Source organism: Homo sapiens, chromosome 10 (assembly GCF_000001405.40).
Source record: "Homo sapiens chromosome 10, GRCh38.p14 Primary Assembly".
In the NCBI taxonomy this organism is placed as follows: Eukaryota; Metazoa; Chordata; class Mammalia; order Primates; family Hominidae; genus Homo; species Homo sapiens.
The window spans coordinates 129,580,447-129,598,235 of record NC_000010.11 but is presented as its reverse complement, the minus strand read 5'-3'; the positions used below and the strand labels follow the sequence as shown (position 1 = coordinate 129,598,235).

The 17,789-nt window shown below is 45.9% G+C and overlaps 1 protein-coding gene across 1 annotated transcript in view, besides 3 other annotated features; it reads right to left on the bottom strand.

Moving 5' to 3' along the window:
- Positions 1-17,789, bottom strand: part of MGMT (O-6-methylguanine-DNA methyltransferase) — a 303,743-nt gene that overhangs the window by 172,748 nt on the left and 113,206 nt on the right. The gene's annotated exons all lie outside the window — the stretch shown is intronic.
- Positions 4,736-5,410: an enhancer, noted in NCBI's record as "H3K27ac-H3K4me1 hESC enhancer chr10:131391090-131391764 (GRCh37/hg19 assembly coordinates)". NCBI's record gives its function as "activates a minimal SCP1, AML or CMV promoter by ChIP-STARR-seq in naive H9 embryonic stem cells {active_cell/tissue: H9 hESC(naive)}" and the evidence as "EXISTENCE:reporter gene assay evidence [ECO:0000049][PMID:30033119]".
- Positions 6,884-7,449: an enhancer, noted in NCBI's record as "H3K27ac-H3K4me1 hESC enhancer chr10:131389051-131389616 (GRCh37/hg19 assembly coordinates)". NCBI's record gives its function as "activates a minimal SCP1, AML or CMV promoter by ChIP-STARR-seq in naive H9 embryonic stem cells {active_cell/tissue: H9 hESC(naive)}" and the evidence as "EXISTENCE:reporter gene assay evidence [ECO:0000049][PMID:30033119]".
- Positions 16,549-17,525: an enhancer, noted in NCBI's record as "H3K27ac-H3K4me1 hESC enhancer chr10:131378975-131379951 (GRCh37/hg19 assembly coordinates)". NCBI's record gives its function as "activates a minimal SCP1, AML or CMV promoter by ChIP-STARR-seq in primed H9 embryonic stem cells {active_cell/tissue: H9 hESC(primed)}" and the evidence as "EXISTENCE:reporter gene assay evidence [ECO:0000049][PMID:30033119]".

Here is a 17,789-nt window from a genome sequence, read left to right as displayed (position 1 = left end):
GACAGATTCATGACATACTAAAGGAATCCTGAGCACACACTCGACCAGGGATGCTCCATGCACCCACCCTGAGGCTGGGCATGAGAACAGGGTCCTCATCTTCCTTGCTGGCCGCATCCACGGTGCCTAGAACGTGGCTGGCACACACTAAACATTGAATACGTGCACCGAGTCTCAGAGCACTTCCACATGGTGGACCTGACTGCAGAGCAGGCCCAGGGGCCGAGAGCCACCACCATGCCAATCACAGTGGGCCACTGCGCAGCCTCTACCCACCGAACGACATCTCTCTGAAGCAACACAGAATACGTCAATGCCACAACCTCCCTAAAAATGCCCTATGCCATTTTTTAAATACAAAAATACCACATCATTATTCAGTCTTTGTGTTTCGACCCCAAAGAGCAGGAGTCAGCAGCCACTTCTGTAGAGAAGGAGATAGGAAGTATGTCACACTTTCCAAGGCCTGTGAGGTCTCTACTCAATAGTCTCTTTATTTCCTACAACCCTTTAAAAAATGAAAAAACCACACTCAGCGTCCTGATCATGCAAAAACAGCTGGTGGACAAGATCTAGCCCATGGCTGTTGTTTGCTAACCCCAGTCACAGAGGGGAAGAGCAAAGTCACCTTGAGCTTTTGGATAATCAAAAATAAGGGGGTAAGGGAATGGCTAGCCAGTATGCCAAATTTCATACATATTTCTTCTCAAAGATTTCCTAAACATGGTAATGATGCTTGTCTTTTTTTTTGTTTTTTTATTTTTCTGGATCTGTCTGAAAAGTAGGTAATAAAAATGACGAAACTAAACTGTTATTTTAACCCACTCACCAAAATGTGAGTGAATGGAACTCAGCATGTTTTGCTCAATTCTAACTGTAATGTCTGAGAAGTCCCCAAAGGTTCTCAACTGATGCCGAGTTTTCCAGTCGTAGCTCTGCAATTTCACGCGAGGTTGAGATCCAGATGAACTTTTAACCAGAATGCCAACCATAACAATGGTGCAATTTGTAAAGAAGGTTCCTTTGCAGGCTTAGAGCTCAGATGTACTAGATACCCTGGGACGTGAACTTCCTGACATCCAACACTGGACGTACCCTCTCCACGCCCCAGCTCTGCTGCTCACAAAAGAAAGCAAGGTATCAGTTTGTTGCGCAGAATCTTCTTGCTCATTTATCCTAACAATCTACAGGAGAGGAAGATCAGATGAGGATTTAGGGAAAACTCCTAGATCTCCAGCAGAGACCTTCACCCCAGCCCACTAAGCCCCTTCCTCAACCACTACACCCCACCCCCCTCACTCCTACATCCACTAAAGCAGTGTCTGTATATGCCTCATTAAAACCACAACCAGCTCCAAAAATGCTTCCCTCTCTTTCCTGGCTATCATCCACTGTTAAAGTTGGGCTGTGGCGGATAAGACTCAATGCAAGAAGCTGAACCTGACTCCTGAGCAGGGCCGTGGCCTGAAACGCAAGCACGACCTAGCTGTCCTAGTATATCCAGAGACATGCTCAAGTGAGGGAAATGTATTTCTGCATATCTTGAGGCATCAAAAGCAGGTGCAATCCTATTATTTTTGTTGCATATTAGTTGTGAAGGCAAGAAGGCATTCTGAAAAACAGACACAGACTCCTTCCACTCAAGCACCGTGGTTCTCCACAGGGTGTCCCCCGCCCAGGTGCAGCAGGACTGCTTGCAGGAACTTCCTCGGTGCACACAAGCTCATGCCCATGAGATCTGCCCGCCTTCATCTTGGTGATACATCCCGAAGGAAGGGTGTGCATGTTGGGTCTGAACAGATAAATTCCATACAGAACACTTCTTTCCAAGATCATCTTGGTTTGCTTAGATTTCACTGTATTTATAAACAATTTATGAACAGTGCAATGAAATGTAAAATTTTAATCTTTAGTTAACAACTATAATAAATGGAAAAAGAAACTGACTTTCCACATATGACTGAGTTGGGGAGGGGGCTGGGATGGTAGATAAATTGGAAAAGTCTAGCATTATTTATGTCACCACTCCATGACATTATACAGATAGCCCAATGCAGAAAATACCATGCTAAAACTCACATAATGTCAAAATTTAATTAGGACACATGCTACCGATACCCTGGGGCAGGGAGGGGCAGGGCGGGGCAGGGGGAAGTAAGCAATGATGTCAGATGCCCAGTGTATTCACAGCTCCTTCAAGCCTCCGTAGTCTGACTCTTCTTTGTGCAGCTGAACCCACCTATAATTCTATATCCAGCTCTTTCTATAAACAGGTATGTCTTACGTGATTGTCCCTACCCAGTCCCTGTATAATCTCCCCCATAGAAAACTTGTTAGGTGCTTTTCAACAATTAGAAGTACATTCTAAAGGGGTCTCCTTACTCCTCTGCTTGAGTGCAAGACAGGAGGAACTCCCCGACGGCTCGTGACCATCAGCCAGATGACTCTCATTTCTACCTGCAGGAGGATTAGACAATCTTAAGTCACCTTGAAAGCCTGTGCCAGGGATTTGAAAAATCACCTGGAAAGCTGAGCATCTGAAACAGTGACTCCTACTCACAAGGAGGGACACAGACACTTTTGAGAATTTCAGGAACCCTCTGGGCCCCGCCCCAAGAAGAGTATCGCAGCGCCCACATAAACGCATCCAGTCAACACTTTTCATCTGACCCTGGGTAGTGTCAGACCCCCCCGAAGACCACCACGGACCCCAGGTTGGGAGATTCTGGTTAAGAGTATGTCTGTGGCACGGGGGATCAGACACCTTTGTTTTCATGGGTGGACACCACGAAAGCTCAGGATGGACGCCAGGTCACCACAGGGAGGAACGTGTGTCACGGGCATGAACAAAGAAGACGTTTTCTCTAGGAAATTCCAAAAACATGGAAGAATGCATCTAAGAGTACACTTATGAGTCCAACCTGAGCAGAGCAATTTCTAAGATCTGGTTAACATCGAGATGCCCACTGATGGCAGGGGGAACTAAGCGTGTCCGTCTCCTCAAAGGCACCATGGCTGCACCCTCCTGTGCCGAGGAGAATTCTGGATGCCTCTTTGTGGTGCTGGCCTTTCTGCCTTAGTTTTCCTACAAAAGGACTTGAAATGATTCAAATGACATCATTCATATATGACACATGGAATGAACTAACACTGGATCACAGGACCCTGGCGAAGATCTGAGGATACAGGGAAAGCCTGAAGGAAGGCCCCGAGAGACGGCAGGGGTGAACCGTGAGACGTGGGGCGCTGCTCCGGCTCCCCTCTCCCCAGTCAAGGAAAAGCTCTGAGCGGTCTTCTCCAGCCTGGCAGGTTGATGGCGTGACGGGTGTGCCGGCAATGCTGGTCCGAAGGTCACCTGGATGTGTGTAACTCGCAGGGGAATATTACATGTCAGCGTCACCAACAAACTTTTTGAATCCTTGTCAACTGAGGATGGAGGGCATTGGTGGTAGAGGTGCACCTTCTCTGGGGACAGTATCTGTGGTAGGAGAGAGATTTCTTCAGCCAGAGAACCCTCCAAGGATTCTGCTGTCTCCAGCCCCACTGTTTCTTTGGGGGTGTTACTGTTCGTATTGTCTTTCACGCGCTGGAGCTGATGGGAACAATTTCATACACTGCTGTGGTATGTTAGGCAGGAGAAAGCTGTGAGACCCAATGGTGTCCCTTCATTCCATCCAAAGCCCTTTGAAAGGTACCGAGGCATTTGAAAGAGATGTCCAAGATCCAGCTTCTCATAGCAGTACCCTCTGAGCCTTTTGCTAGAGTAATTCAAGGTTTCAAAGAACACAGTGTAAGACTGAACATATTTTAATATGCCTTAGTAATCTGATTTTTTAAAAATCTTTAAATCTCTTTCCAAGAAACTTCTGATCTGAGCTCTTTTCACCTTCAGTACCCAGGCTACCTCCTTGTTCAGAATCAAGACTGTTTCCTTGGTGTTGACAACACAACTTTGTAAAGGAAGATAAAACATCTGAGGACCCCTCAGACTTCTTATGCAAAAGGAAAGCTTAAGCCCAGAGGCTGAGTCATTGCAACGCCCTCTTCCAAATGAATGGCTGTTTCTAGCCTCATGCATCAGCCAGACCTCCACAGAAAGGCAGAGGCCTCAGGCACCAACACAGGGCTGCCCCCACAGATCACTCAGAGGTGAATTCTTTGCCGGCCTCGCATAAACAGGGACTTGCCAACTGTGACTTTAGATCAACCATCTCAGTCCAGCTCATAAAACCCCACACTGATATAATGTGGATCACAAGCTTCCCTTCCCAGGGCAGAGCAAAGTCGAGGCTCATTTCCTCTGCCTGCCCAGAGACCTCTGCATAAGGAACTCCTCCTCTGCTCCCACCTTCTCTGCCGACATTTGCCTCCCCTCACCTGGAGCGTGGATTCACTGAGCACTGTTCGCCTCACTGCCTGGCCTCCAGGCCTCCCCACTACCTTGTAAGGAAAGGTGTCAATACTCAACCTCTTGAAAACCTCTTTGGAAGCACAGCCCTGGGTGTCTGTGGCGTACTTTCCCCACACATGCCCGAAAGCTGCTTTAAGGAGCCTGGATGATTGAGACTTACGCCTCAGCCACCCATTGTTGTTGTCACCTCTGAACAAGGCACAGTGAGACTGAAATTTCTGTTATTTGCTAAAGCTTAAGAGAATGTCAGAAGGGGACGTGATATGACTGTGTTTTTTAAAATGGCTAAGGATCCGAAGCAATTCCGTTGACGTAGTTCAAAGAAAAATAAGAAGCCAGGGGCTCCCTCTCAGATTCGTCGGCAACACGGGGCTGGCCACTCTGAAGTCCTGACCAGATGCCGGCCACACTGTGCTCAAGAGAGCTGGGGAGGCAGGAGGGAGGACCGCCCATCCCAAATGCAGGAAACACAGGGGCATCCCAAACTGCTGATCAGGACCCACCTTTCTAAGGGGAGGCTTCCGAGCCTTCTCAAATACCAGCTCCATTTCACCCACCGTCATGACTTGGAGGCCTGGGAATCCCAACAGCGCCCACTGCGCAGGAGCTGAAATCTCCTGTCCGGATAACATCGAGGGAATGAGCAGGGCATAGGATGCCCGAAGACCCTCCCTACACTGATGAGAGACACCTGAGCCCTGAGAAGAAACGGCTTGGGGCTTCTCCCTCACCCTACACAAGAAGGAAGCAGAGTGCAGGTTCTCTGACCTCGCAGCATCCCCGAGGCCACCATGGTGTTTGTCTGGGGCGGTGGGTGTCTGACTTTTCAGTCTCACCCTTAAGCATCATGAGGACTCTAAAGAGCTATTTTTTTCCTCATGCAAGTTATTTCTATTGATACTGTGTTTGAAATGAAAGCTGAGAACATTTAAAAATATTTCATTTCAAAATAGTTATGAACTGATTTCATGTTATCACATATAACATTTTCATGAAAAATAACCATTTTTCCAAAAAAAAAAAGGATTAATTAAAGTTGCACTGGTTTACATTTTTGAGACTGTCTTCCACAGCTGGCTTAACAGAAGGCAGGTGGACTCTCGCAGCTGCTTCTGCCTTCAGTCTGTTTCCATACAGGGCTCTGGCTGACGTGCAGGAAGAAAATCTACCTTGGGCCACTGTGGATACTCTCCTTTGATACCTGAACAGAACTCTCAACAAGGGGCAGCTCCCAAACCACAGTTTCCATGTGGACCCTGAAGCCTTCCGAATCAACTGTCTGCACGGTTCCATTAAAATCCATTCACCTAGCCTGCATTTTGGATTTTTACCCAGGCATAATTTTATAACATTATCCATCATTTAGAAAATACTGGTTCACTGAGGTATGCAAATCTACGTTAGGCATTTCAGCCACAGCACACTACCGAAATTCACACTAGTTAATGCCACACTGGTATCAGCAAAACGTTGTTTAAACATTGAAATGCTGTTAAGCTCACGGCAGTAGGTGCAAGTTTCTCAAAATTATGATTTTCACTTGAAACTCAGATTTCATCATTCAGTACTAGCAACAAATACTGTCAGCTATTTTCCTTGAAAATTTCTGCCAAAAACCCAAGTGTGGGTAAATATGGTTGGCTGGTCAGTGATACTTTCAATGGTGAAAATGGTATTCCAGGAAAAAAGTGGCCACTCCCGTCACCCTGAGTCACACGCAAACCCTTCCTCCGGAAAACATCCCTGCTTTGGTCCATGGCAGAAGTGCTTTACGCACACTTCACTTCATCCCCGTGTCTACTAAAAAGAGAGGTGCTCCAGGGTCAGTTTGTAGTACAATTAGCGTTTATTGCTTCAACAAGGACATTCTTTTTTATTTATTTATTTATTTTTTGAGACGGAGTCTCGCTCTGTCACCCAGGCTGGAGTGCAGTGGCGCCATCTCGGCTCACTGTGATCTCTGCCTCCCGGGTTCAAGCCATTCTCCTGCCTCAGCCTCCCAAGTAGCTGAGATTACAGGTGCCTACCACCATGCCTGGCTAATTTTTTGTATTTTTAGAAGAGATAGGGTTTCACTATGTTGGCCAGGCTGGTCTCGAACTCCTGACCTTGTGATCCACCCACCTCGGCCTCCCAAAGTGCTGGGATTACAGGCGTGAGCCACCGCGTCCGGCCAACAAGGACATTCTTAAATAAAACACCGTCCACCACCTGCAAACGCGTGGTGGTGAGGAGTAGGTGGACAGCTGCAGAGGTCTGGGGCCTGGCCTGGATCTAGGTCCAGCTAGAGCAGCCTCCCCCAGCATCACTCTTGGACACGCGAGGTCTTGGCGTTGTTACAGAGGCATCTCTGACCTGACACAGCACCTGTGCGGTCTTGGAAGACCCAGTTTGAGAATCTCTGAGCCAGAATGCTCCTTTCCTGGGGAGACAGAGGGCAGGGAGCAGTAGCAGGTCCATGTCTTCCCGCACGAGTGGACCACAGCCTGAGGCGTGCTCATTTCACTCCTCGCTCTGCTGTCAGGCTATTCAAGGTCAGCCTGGAAAGAACTGCTTGCACAGATTCCACAAGGCAGCATACTTGCTTTTGGCATTTTCAAAAGTTAAAAATGGACAATATTTGAAACACGGCCACTCATCATGCCCGTCCCAGTTCTGGCCAGTCTCGCCTTCTCCTGGGGGCACTGTCACCACCCTCAAGCCTGACCACGCTGCGCCCCCAGGAAGCCATCTCTGCAGGCCTGCCCATCCCTGCCAGCTGCCACAGGTGCTTGCCTACAGAAAACACACTGCGTTTGGCCAACTCATCGCTTATTCCCAAACACTTCCAACGACTACGTCATTTTCAGACACTTTTTGACTAAATGGCCAATTTGCTGGAGCCAAGCACCCTTCAGATTTGCGAAGGTAATTTGACCACCTTTCCGTCAGCCGGCGGGAGAGAGGCTGGAGCAGCTCACAGTTTAACCTGCACACTGCACCGACATATTCCTCACGAGGGGTCCCCCTCGGTAATAAAATCAAGATTGTGATTGCCAGTACAAGATTCACAGCATTTAAAGTGCCAGTAAACTGTGGATTGTGAATCCCTTAAATGCCCGTATACCCTATCTTGCTGGATCTTAAATGCTGATATCAGAATTTTTATTGAGAGTTTCTAGCCTCTCTGAGTTTCTCATTAGACTGTGAATGGCAAATGACATACTTTTCAAAGTTTACGTTCTTTTTCTTGGCTAGATCCACAAAAATAAGATTCATACTTTCTTGCCTCGACCAGCAATTCCATGGCTAGAAACTATTCATTGCAAAACAGAAACAGTTTTATTTTGCTCTGATAGAGATTCACAAAATATAGAGAGAAATTCGCTCACATTGTATCCAGTCTCTTTATTAAAATTTAAATAATGCTGAGTTAGCCATCTAAGGAATTAAAATCGAAACATAAGTATTCAATCCATGTAGAACTCTGGGATCCAGGTACTTTTCAGGGAAAAGTTCATATAAGCACATCTTGGTTTACTAAATGTGCTCAAAGCAACTGAACTATAAAGTGAACTATATTTTTATATTAAACGTATTTTATAAGATATATTAAACATGTGTTTCCAAGTAAAACAAAAGACCACAGACAGATCTGAAACCTTTAGGAGAGAAGGGAATTAGCAGAGAATGTGGGCCTGCGGCAGAGCCCCCGCCTGCCTAACAGAAGCTCCGGTCCTCGAGGTGGGAGAGGAATTAACAGGGAACCCATGGCCTGATATGCTGTGGCCCTGTGATGATCTCATGATCCGCACTCCATTCAACCACCCATCCTGTCTGAGCAGCCTCTCAGTCTCGCCCACCCTCACCCCAAACCAGGGCTTCCTGGGCCATCTCCAGCCTCAACCCACCTGGGACCCCTCCCTTGGGCTCCAGATCCCACGTCCTCTGCCTCTGTCTTCTGGACCCTCCTGGTGGATGGGCTGCCAGCTCCCATTGGCTCTGATTTTCACGCGGCTCCCAGCTGGAGGCTTCACTGCCCGCCCTGGAGGTGGAAGCAGCCCTTTAATGGTCTCCCTGCTGGAAGCTGGATTTGTAAGTAGCAACTGCTCTGGGAGTCTGCCTGTCCAGCAGCCCTTCCTTGGTGACCACCCATGTGAGCGTTAAGCAGCCCCGCCGCAGGCCATAGGGGGTCACTATTGCAGGTGGTGCTGCCGATATCCGACTTGAGTTAAATCACTAGGAAAAATTTCCAAAGTCAAGATGTTTCACTCCTGCTGAGAATAATGGAAAGTTTCAGTTTTGATTATTTTATATATTTAGTAGAGGCCACAAGAAGCAAATAAATGTCAACATTTTATTTCATGTCATGTGAGCCACAATGCGACTGAGAATCCAAATTCGACCTGAGTTTGCCTGCAAAACTCAAGAGGTCAGAGGTGAGTAGCACCCATGCTCTGAGGCATGGCCCAAGTGAGGCCCTGGCAGGGCGTGTGCCAGGCCCCACACTCCCGTGATGAAGGGACAACACACACTTTGTCCCCACCCCAGCCAGGCGGCTTGAGGCCTGGCTGCTCTGACGTCCCACTGCAGAGCCACTCATGAGACACCAGAACACAGAATTAAGGCCTGTTGGCACTAGGCTCCATGACTGCGAGAACAGACACCATGACGTCCTCCTTGGATACCGCTTCTTCAGCCAGATTGTACTCCCTGGTGCTCCAAATGGCCTGTCAACTAGAGAGAGTAGGGGGTAGCAAAAGTGACACAAAAACACCGGCCTCTTCCAGCCTTCCACAGACCTGGAGCAATGCAATTAAAGCCTACAGTGAAGCAGTATCCAGACCACCAGGGTCTAAAGCAACTGCATTAGGCTACTGCCAGAGACACCTACAAAACAGCTTCCCTCCCCCTGAGGGGAATCTGCGCGAGTTTCTCCTAGTTGTCCTAAAATGCCTCTCTGTTCATTAAGCTCTGCAAATATGTAGTCTGCATGCAATATTCAACGTGGTAAGTGTAAAGATACCAGCTCCAAATTGTTGAGCACTCCTAGGCAGTTTGCATGATGCTGCGTGTTTTCCAAATGCTGCAGGCACCCTGTGATGTCAGTGTGCTGGCACACACACTTCACAGAGGAGAGTATGGGCTGAGGGCACTATCCATGATGACAGTGCTGGCTCGCAGTACAGGCAGGACTGGACCCAGGGTTCGGGGGCCCATGCTACTCACAAACATCTTTCATGGAAGGTACACAGTGGGTCTTGGCCACACCGAGCCACAGTGCTCTTATTCCTGGATGCATGCGTGCGAGTGGGAAGAATGTGACACAGAAAGGGACAACAAGGTACTCAGAGGGCAATAAAAAAGGGAGGAAAGACGTAAGACTTCCACATATAATAAAAAGCTGGTAAATGATGCAAGAAGATGCATACGGTATTACCTCTTACTGCTGCATAACAAATCACCACAAATTACCACAGATTCAGTGGTTTAACCACCACACATCTACTGTCTCATCCGCCCCATGGGTCAGGAGTCCAGGCACGGGTGGACTCAGTCCTCTGCTAAGGGTTTCTCCGGGTGAAACCAAAATGTCAGCTGCAACTGAGACTCCCAGGGCTGAGGCTGCGAGTCTCTTTCAAGCTCACTATGTATTGACAGAATTCATTTCCTTGCACTGATAGGACTGAGGTCCTGTTTTTTGTCTAGCCATGAGTCCCCGGCCATGATCTCTCCTCTTACAATCCTGCCTTGGTTGTGGGAATAATTAGCCTGAAACTAAATACCACTGTAGTTGCAACTAGTGAATCTTCAAAGCATGATCCAAAAGATTCAAACTATTTCCACGTAACTTACCTGCCTCCCAGAACAAAGCTAAAGGATATTTATTAAATAAATAACCTAGCACCCAGCCAGGTAACATTTGCATATAAAGCATCCATTCAAAAATTACAAGAAAAGCATAAAAGAATAAAAATACAACTGCTAGGAGGAGAAAAAAATCAAAACCAACCCAAAACTGACAAAGATGTTAGAATTAACAGACAAGGATATTAACATAGTCGTTATAACTGTATTTCACATGTCAAAAAGGTGAGTAGAAAAATATAGGTCGGGTACGGTGGCTCACACCTGTAATCCCAGCACTTTGGGAAGCCGAGGCGGGTGGATCATGATAAAAATATAAAAATTAGCTGGGCATGGTGGGTTGTGCCTGTAGTCTCAGCTACTTGGGAGGCTGAGACAGGGAATCACTTGAACCCAGGAGGAGGAGGTTGCAGTGAGCCAAGATCACACCACTGCCCTCCAGCCTGGTGACAGAACAAGACTCCATCTCAAAAAAAAAGAAAAAGAAAAATTAAGATATAAAAATGACACAAATTTTTATGGATTAAAATCACCATGCCTGAGAAGAAAAACATACTAGATGACATTCAAAGCATATTAGGCATTGCAGAAGAAAAGATTAGTGAACTCAAAAACATAATAGAAACTACCAAAATAAAACACTGCAAAAAAAACAAAAAAATCACAATATTAGAGAACTGTGGGATAACTTAAAACAGACAAATATAGATGTAATTGATGGCACCAAGAAACTCAATGAAGCCCAAGCACTAGACACATGAAGACAAGCACACCAACCCAAAAAATGAGCCAGATGGTCAAAGCCAGCGATAAAGAACATAACTCAAAAACCCCTGGAGGGGGGAAAATGCTCCACATACATGAAGGAAAATAAGGATGACAGCAGATTTCTGGTCCGAAACAATGCAAGTCAGAGACAGTGGAACAAGATCTTTAAGAAAAGGAAAAGAGAAAACTCAAAATTCTTTGCACAGCAAAAATATCTTTTAAATATGAAAATACTTTTTCAGACATTAAAAACACTAAAAGACAGTATCACCATCAGACCCCACAGAAGAAATGCTAAGTCTTCCAGGCAAAAGGAAAATGATATGAAATCAGAGACTATATGCAAGAATTGCATTCCCACCCACTGTTCATAAAAACGGCAGAGGGATGCAGCCACTCTGGAAAACAGTTTGGCAACTTTTTAAAATGCTAAACACCCATTGCCCATAGGATCCACTCCTAGGTGTTTACCTAAGAGAATTAGAAGCATACGTCCTTACCAAGTCTTTCATATAAATATTCATAGCAGTGTCTGCAACAGCCGAAAGCAGAAAGAACAATATTCAATGTACAATAACAAACGAATGATAAACTGTGGTATCCCCACACAATGGAATACCACTCAGCAAAAAGAGTAATCAACCGCTGACACATGCAACAACATGCATGAATATCAAACTCAATACACTGGAAGAACTCAGACACGAAGAGACTATACGTTATAATTCCATTCATAAAACGAGAAAATTTTGTGTAAAATACAATATATATGTATATATGTGCATCACAAAATTCTAGAAAATCAAACTAATGCACAGTGACAGCAGATCAGTGATTGCCTGGGGATGAGAAAGGAAAGCGGGTTGAGGTGAGGAGAGGAATCACAGAGGTGCAAGAGGAAACTTTGGGGGTGATGAGAATATTTGTTATTTTGATTGGGGTCATCCATAGGCAAATTTTATCAAACTGTATATGTGAGATACAGTGGCCCCCTTTATCCACAGTTTTACTTTCCATGGTTTCAATTACTTGAGATCAACCGTGGTCCAAAAATATTAACTGGAAAATTCCAGACATAAATAATCCATACGTTCTAAATTGCACACCATTCTGAGTAGTGGGATGAAATCTCGCCCCATCCCACCTGAGACACGAATCATCCCTCTGTCCGGTGCATCCCCACTGTACACACCCCCGCCCTTCTGTCGCTTAGTAGCCATCTATCTTGGTATCTATCAGATAGACTATCAAGGTCATTGCAGTGCTTGTGTTCAAGTCACCCACATTTCACTTAATAATGGCCCTGAAGTGCAAGAATAGTGATGCTGGCATGTTGTTATAATGGTTCCATAGACTGCTGCTGTTAATCTCACTGGGCTAGTTTACAAAGTAAACTTTATTATGGGGATGTATGTGTAGGAAAAGATACTGCACAGCCGGCCCTCCATATGCATGGGCTCCACAGCCACGGACTCACGGACTCAACCAACCACAGATCAAAAATATTCGGAAAAAAATTCTACAAAGTTCAAAAAGGCAAAACTTGAATTTGCTATATGTTAAGGACTACGTTGAATTCACAAGAATGAAGTGATATCTAGGCATTAGGTATCATAAGTAATCTAGAGATGATTTAAAAAATATGGGAGGGTGTCTCTGGGCTATATAAGAATAGTATGCCATTTTATATAAGAGGCTTGAGCACCTGCGGATGTTAGTATCCGAGAGGAGTCCTGGAGCCAACCCCTCAGGGATACCAAGGGTTTGGTGCCTTCTACGGTTTCCAGCATCTGCTGGTGTTCTTGTAACATATTCCCCATGACTAAGGGGGAACTACTGTATGTATACTCTGTATGTCATTTACATCTCAATAATGCTATTGTTTGACAAAAAGAAATAGTACACCAAGTGTGTCCTCCCTCTGTGGCCTTCTGTAATTGTGAATCCCATCAACCAGCCCTATTGTGAATAAAAACCCTGCTTACCATTCCCAGCTTGATTATTTGCCCGTTTTACACAAGAAGATATCTTTCTCGCCCTTTAGGATGGCTAAAATCAAAAAGACAACATGGAAAGTGTTGGTGAGTATATGAAGAAATTGGAGCCCTCATACATTGCTGGCAGGAATGTAAAATGGGGCAGCTGTATTAGAAAACCATAAGTTTTTCAAAATGCTAAACATGCAATTGCCATCGGACCCAGGAATCCTACTCCTAGGCCTACGTGTGTGTGTGTGTATATATACCCCAAGAGAAATGAACACATATATACACAAATGTTCACTGCAGCCTTATTCACAACACCAAAAGGCGAAACTGACTTAACTGATGTATAGATCAACAAAATGTGGTTCATCCACATGATGGGATATTGTTTGGCCGCAGGGAATTAAGTTCTGACACATGCTGGAGCGTGGAGCAACCTTGAAAACACCACACGAAGGGAAAGGAACCAGGCACAAAAGGCCACATGGTGCAGGATTCCGTTGATGCAAAACATCCAGAACAGGGAAAACCACAGACACAGACAGACTAGTGGTGGGCTGGTACCAGAGGGAGGGGGATGGGAAATGACTGCTGGTAGGTCTGGGGTCCCTTTTTTGGCAGGGGCAGTGGGGAAGAGGGAGATTTAAATCTTCTAAAATTACACTGTGATGATGGACACACAACTGTATAAATGCATGAAAACCCAGCATGCTGTACAATTTAAATGGGTAAATTTTAGAGTATGTAAAATGTATCTCAGGAAAGCTATAACATGAAAAAAAAAACAAATTAAGCCTTATACAAAAAAGAAACAGCAGCCATACATGCTTTTTGAAATATGAAATCTCCTGATTCGTGTGTGCTGGCAATTAAAATTTGAGATACCTGTCAGGCCCCCATGGACAGGCCAAGCAATTCTCAGCTGCCTGCTGCATCAGGCCAGCAGGCCAAGAGCTTGCCAACTTCAGGGCTATACCTTCCTTTTACAAACCAAATGGTGCCCCTCCATGTCTGTTTCCCTGCAAGAATCCCCTAGAAACTGTGTTTTCTAATCCTGTTGAGAGCGGCTTTCATGTCTGCTCATCTGATGATGATCCAGGCCTCACCCTCTGTCTACTCTCTGACCTCTCTCTTCCTCCAAGGCCAGCACTTTGCCACCTCGCTCCTGTGGCCACACTGACTTCCGCTTCTGCATCGGAGACTTCCTGGCTCCACTGACATGCCAAGTCTTCGGTGCACGGTGGAGCAGCCTCTGCCAGCTCTGATGACCTGGTGCTCCACGTCCTGCCTCACTTTCTTGTGTCCCACACCAAGGCACCCACACATAGACTGTATGGCCCATCTGTCTCCTCCCAGCTCCACCAAAAAAAACAAAACGAAAGTCAAGACTTGGTCTGGCAGGTTTCAAAGACATGGCAGTCAGATGCAATGGTGTTTCCATCTGTTGAATGGAATACTCTTCCCTCAACTACAGAGACGAGGAGGACATGAAATAGGAAGCAAGGTGTGGGCGGCACCTGTGAGCAGAGGAAATGTAAACGGTCCTGCTATGTGTGCCACAGAGACAGGGCCCTGCCCTGCAGGCAAGGGGGATGTATCAGATGCAATGAAGAAGAATTTGGGAAAAGGGCAGAACAGGACCAAAACCACAACCCCTAGGCTGCAATCTATCCAGAAAAAGTCAGGCTTTCTACCCGGGATAAGGAAGGAAGTCAGCCTCACTATCTTCTACCTTAAACTACAAAAGCAACACACCATCTTGATCCAAAATAGGTCTAAAATTTAAGAATAACAGAAAAGTATTTGCCTTCAAAAATCTGATGAGTAAATAATTAGCCTCACTCATTCCTTTATAAATTTCCACAGAACCCCAAGAGATTACCTCTAAAAACAATGAATTAGGTCTTCTGATGATAATGGGTCTTTATTTTTATGTTGATTTTAGAATAATTGTTTACTGTTAGATTGGTTAAATGTTTAGCTATTTGAATTTCCATTTGATGTTAATTTAACTTATTACTACAAGTTAAATAAAGTACACCCAAGGCAGTTTTACAGAAGCTTCCGATACACCATTTATTATATTTGTTGCTTATTTCAGGAAACCACACAGACTTCTTTTCTCCCCATTGTTATGGAAGGAAGCAAGACAGCCTATCAGAAAGATATAAGATTTTTTTCCCTCAAGATGGTTCATCTTTTGTGTTGGCAATCTGTCTTTTAGGGAAGATAGAATAAAGCCGATATTTAGGTATATCAAGTGATTCAGTGCAAGCATCTCTCAAAACCATGATCAATATTCTCATGTTTTTAGCACTGTTTTCGGTCATAAATATCTTTTCTCTAAAAAAGAAATAATTCTTTCTGTCCACAGGGCCTGCAGTCAATATGAAGTCGCCAAGCCACCAGGATGGTCATGGCGGGCACAGGGCAATCCTCAGAGCCACCTTTTCACTAAAGAGCCAGGAACCCGCTGGTGTGCTAAAACCTACATGATGCTTTATCCGAAGGGGGAAACTGCCGGGGATTTAGATACCAAAAAGCAGTAACAGAAAAATGGTTTTATCCTAAAGCACAAGATCACCTACACTAAAATTCTATATCTCATTTTTTTCCTCCTCACAGCTCCATCAAAAAAAAAAACAACAACCAGACTTTATACTTTAGAAATAATTTGTAACTGTCTTTTAAAAGTTAAAATCTAAATATCGGGAAGACGTTGTACGGAGAACAAAAGTTTAAAAGGCACACAATTAAATGTTTTTAAAAGTCAGTGTTAGCAGTAAGGACTTACGATGTTATTTTTTCAATGCCTGGCAGCCACCCGTCAGAGGCAGAGCACAGCAACACTGCGCAGTGGTCATGAGAACTATAACACGAGGAGGGACTCTCTGAACTAATTCACTGACAACAGAGCACACTCTCAACGGCTTGTTCAGATCACAATGGTCACAGCCTTGGCTCCTGGTAGAAGGCGGGGTGGAGTACATGTCGGGCAGAAGGCCAGGCGGGGTCCACGCACATTCATGAGACGTAGCCGGGCTAAGGGAGGCTGCTTCCCACCACCCTGGAAAGCGTCCGAATGATGTCCTTCATACACAGATGTGCTCCCAACACTCAAAAAAGGAGCACTTGTAAGCAAATGTGAAGGAGGAATTCACCCCCTCACCACCACCCACCTGGGACAGTCCGCCCACAGAGGCTGGCCCACGTGGCTCGCACACCCTGGACAGCCTCCTGCACAGACAGGCAGAGCGCCTCCTACAAGACGCCGGCCAGGCAGCAGAAAGTCAACAGAAAGCTGATTGAGTACACTTTCCTATTTTTTAAATATTAAGGATAGAAACTGTTGAAAATAAATTGCTGCTTTCAAATGCTTAGCCAGGGGATACCCCGGAAATGGTTTTGTCTCCAGGAGGACGGGACGGCCACTGGGCATGCTCACGCCCACACCTAACTCACACTTGAGCATTACCACCAAAACCTTTCTTATCTGCAGGTAGCCAAAGCCCTCTTCCTCTTTAGGAGGCCTTGAACTCTGGGCTCAGTGGTTTTCTGTTTTGTTTTTTAAAGAAAGGAAACAATGTTCTGACTAGTCTGAGAATATCTTATTCTGAGACGTGTCTGCACTCCAGCAAGTTGCAGAAGATAGTGACTGACCATTTAGATCCAGAGTTCCTGCATCATCTCTAGTTTGTTTCATCAGGAATCACAGCTTTTTAAAAATTAACAGTAGATGGGAATGACATGATGATTTCCTCAGAAAACATAACCTACTTGGCTGCGAGACCATGCCAATGATGTGGGGTCAGAAAGACCTGGGGCCCTGTTCTCCAAGGACTGCCACCGGAGGAATGGCAGGTCTCAAGTTCAATGGTGCCATGTCAGTAGCCCTCCCCAATTAAATGGTGGCTTGGAAAGACAGGGCCTGTAAGCAGCCCAGTCACGCCACTGCAGAACCAGGGGCAGGAAAGCAGAACTCAGCCACAGCGGATGGAATGAAAGGCATCCACCACAATGCCAGGCTACCAAAAAGCTCAGCCCGCGACAGGTCACGGCAAACACCTTCCAGTGTGCAACTCACACTGCAGCTGCACCGTTAACAATTATCCACCAACGCAGCTGTTTCCCCTTTCTTATCTTACAAAGTAGCATCATTATTTCCTCACAGAGTGTCATGTGCTAACATTGCTTTATGAGGAATCCAAATTCAACTGTTGACATCCCCCAAGCACCTGCTTTGATTCCTGTGCCATGTCAGTGGGACCAGACAGCGGCTGGATCTGGGCGTGTAAGGATGCATTTCTCAACAGCAACCATGGTTCCCAGAAATGGTACTATGTCTTCTAAGGGTAAGGCAGCCCTCAACAAACGATGTTTGCAACAAAGACCTCAACAAAACGGAAGCACACAAGGAAGGCACTTGCTGCCTTGAGCTGCCCAGTTGTGGGGTGTCTGTGGTTATGGGGCATCCATGGTCACGGGGTATCCCCAATCATGGGGTGTCTGTGGTCGGGGGACAAGCCATCATGGGGTGTCCCTAGGTACAGGATGTCTGTCCAGCATCCTTTTGTAGCTAGTGGTTAGAGACAGAAGCCCAGGCTCACAGTCTCAGCAAAGAGGCCACTCTGGAGGACTGCCTCTCAGGAGCCAGGTCTGAGGAGGTGTGCATGGGCTTTAGGGTATCACTGAGCCCCAGCCTAGGAACGTCTAGACCTAGAAGGCCTTCCTCGCTCAAAGCCCACGGGCCCTGGAGCCAGCCTCCTCGTGTTTAAGTC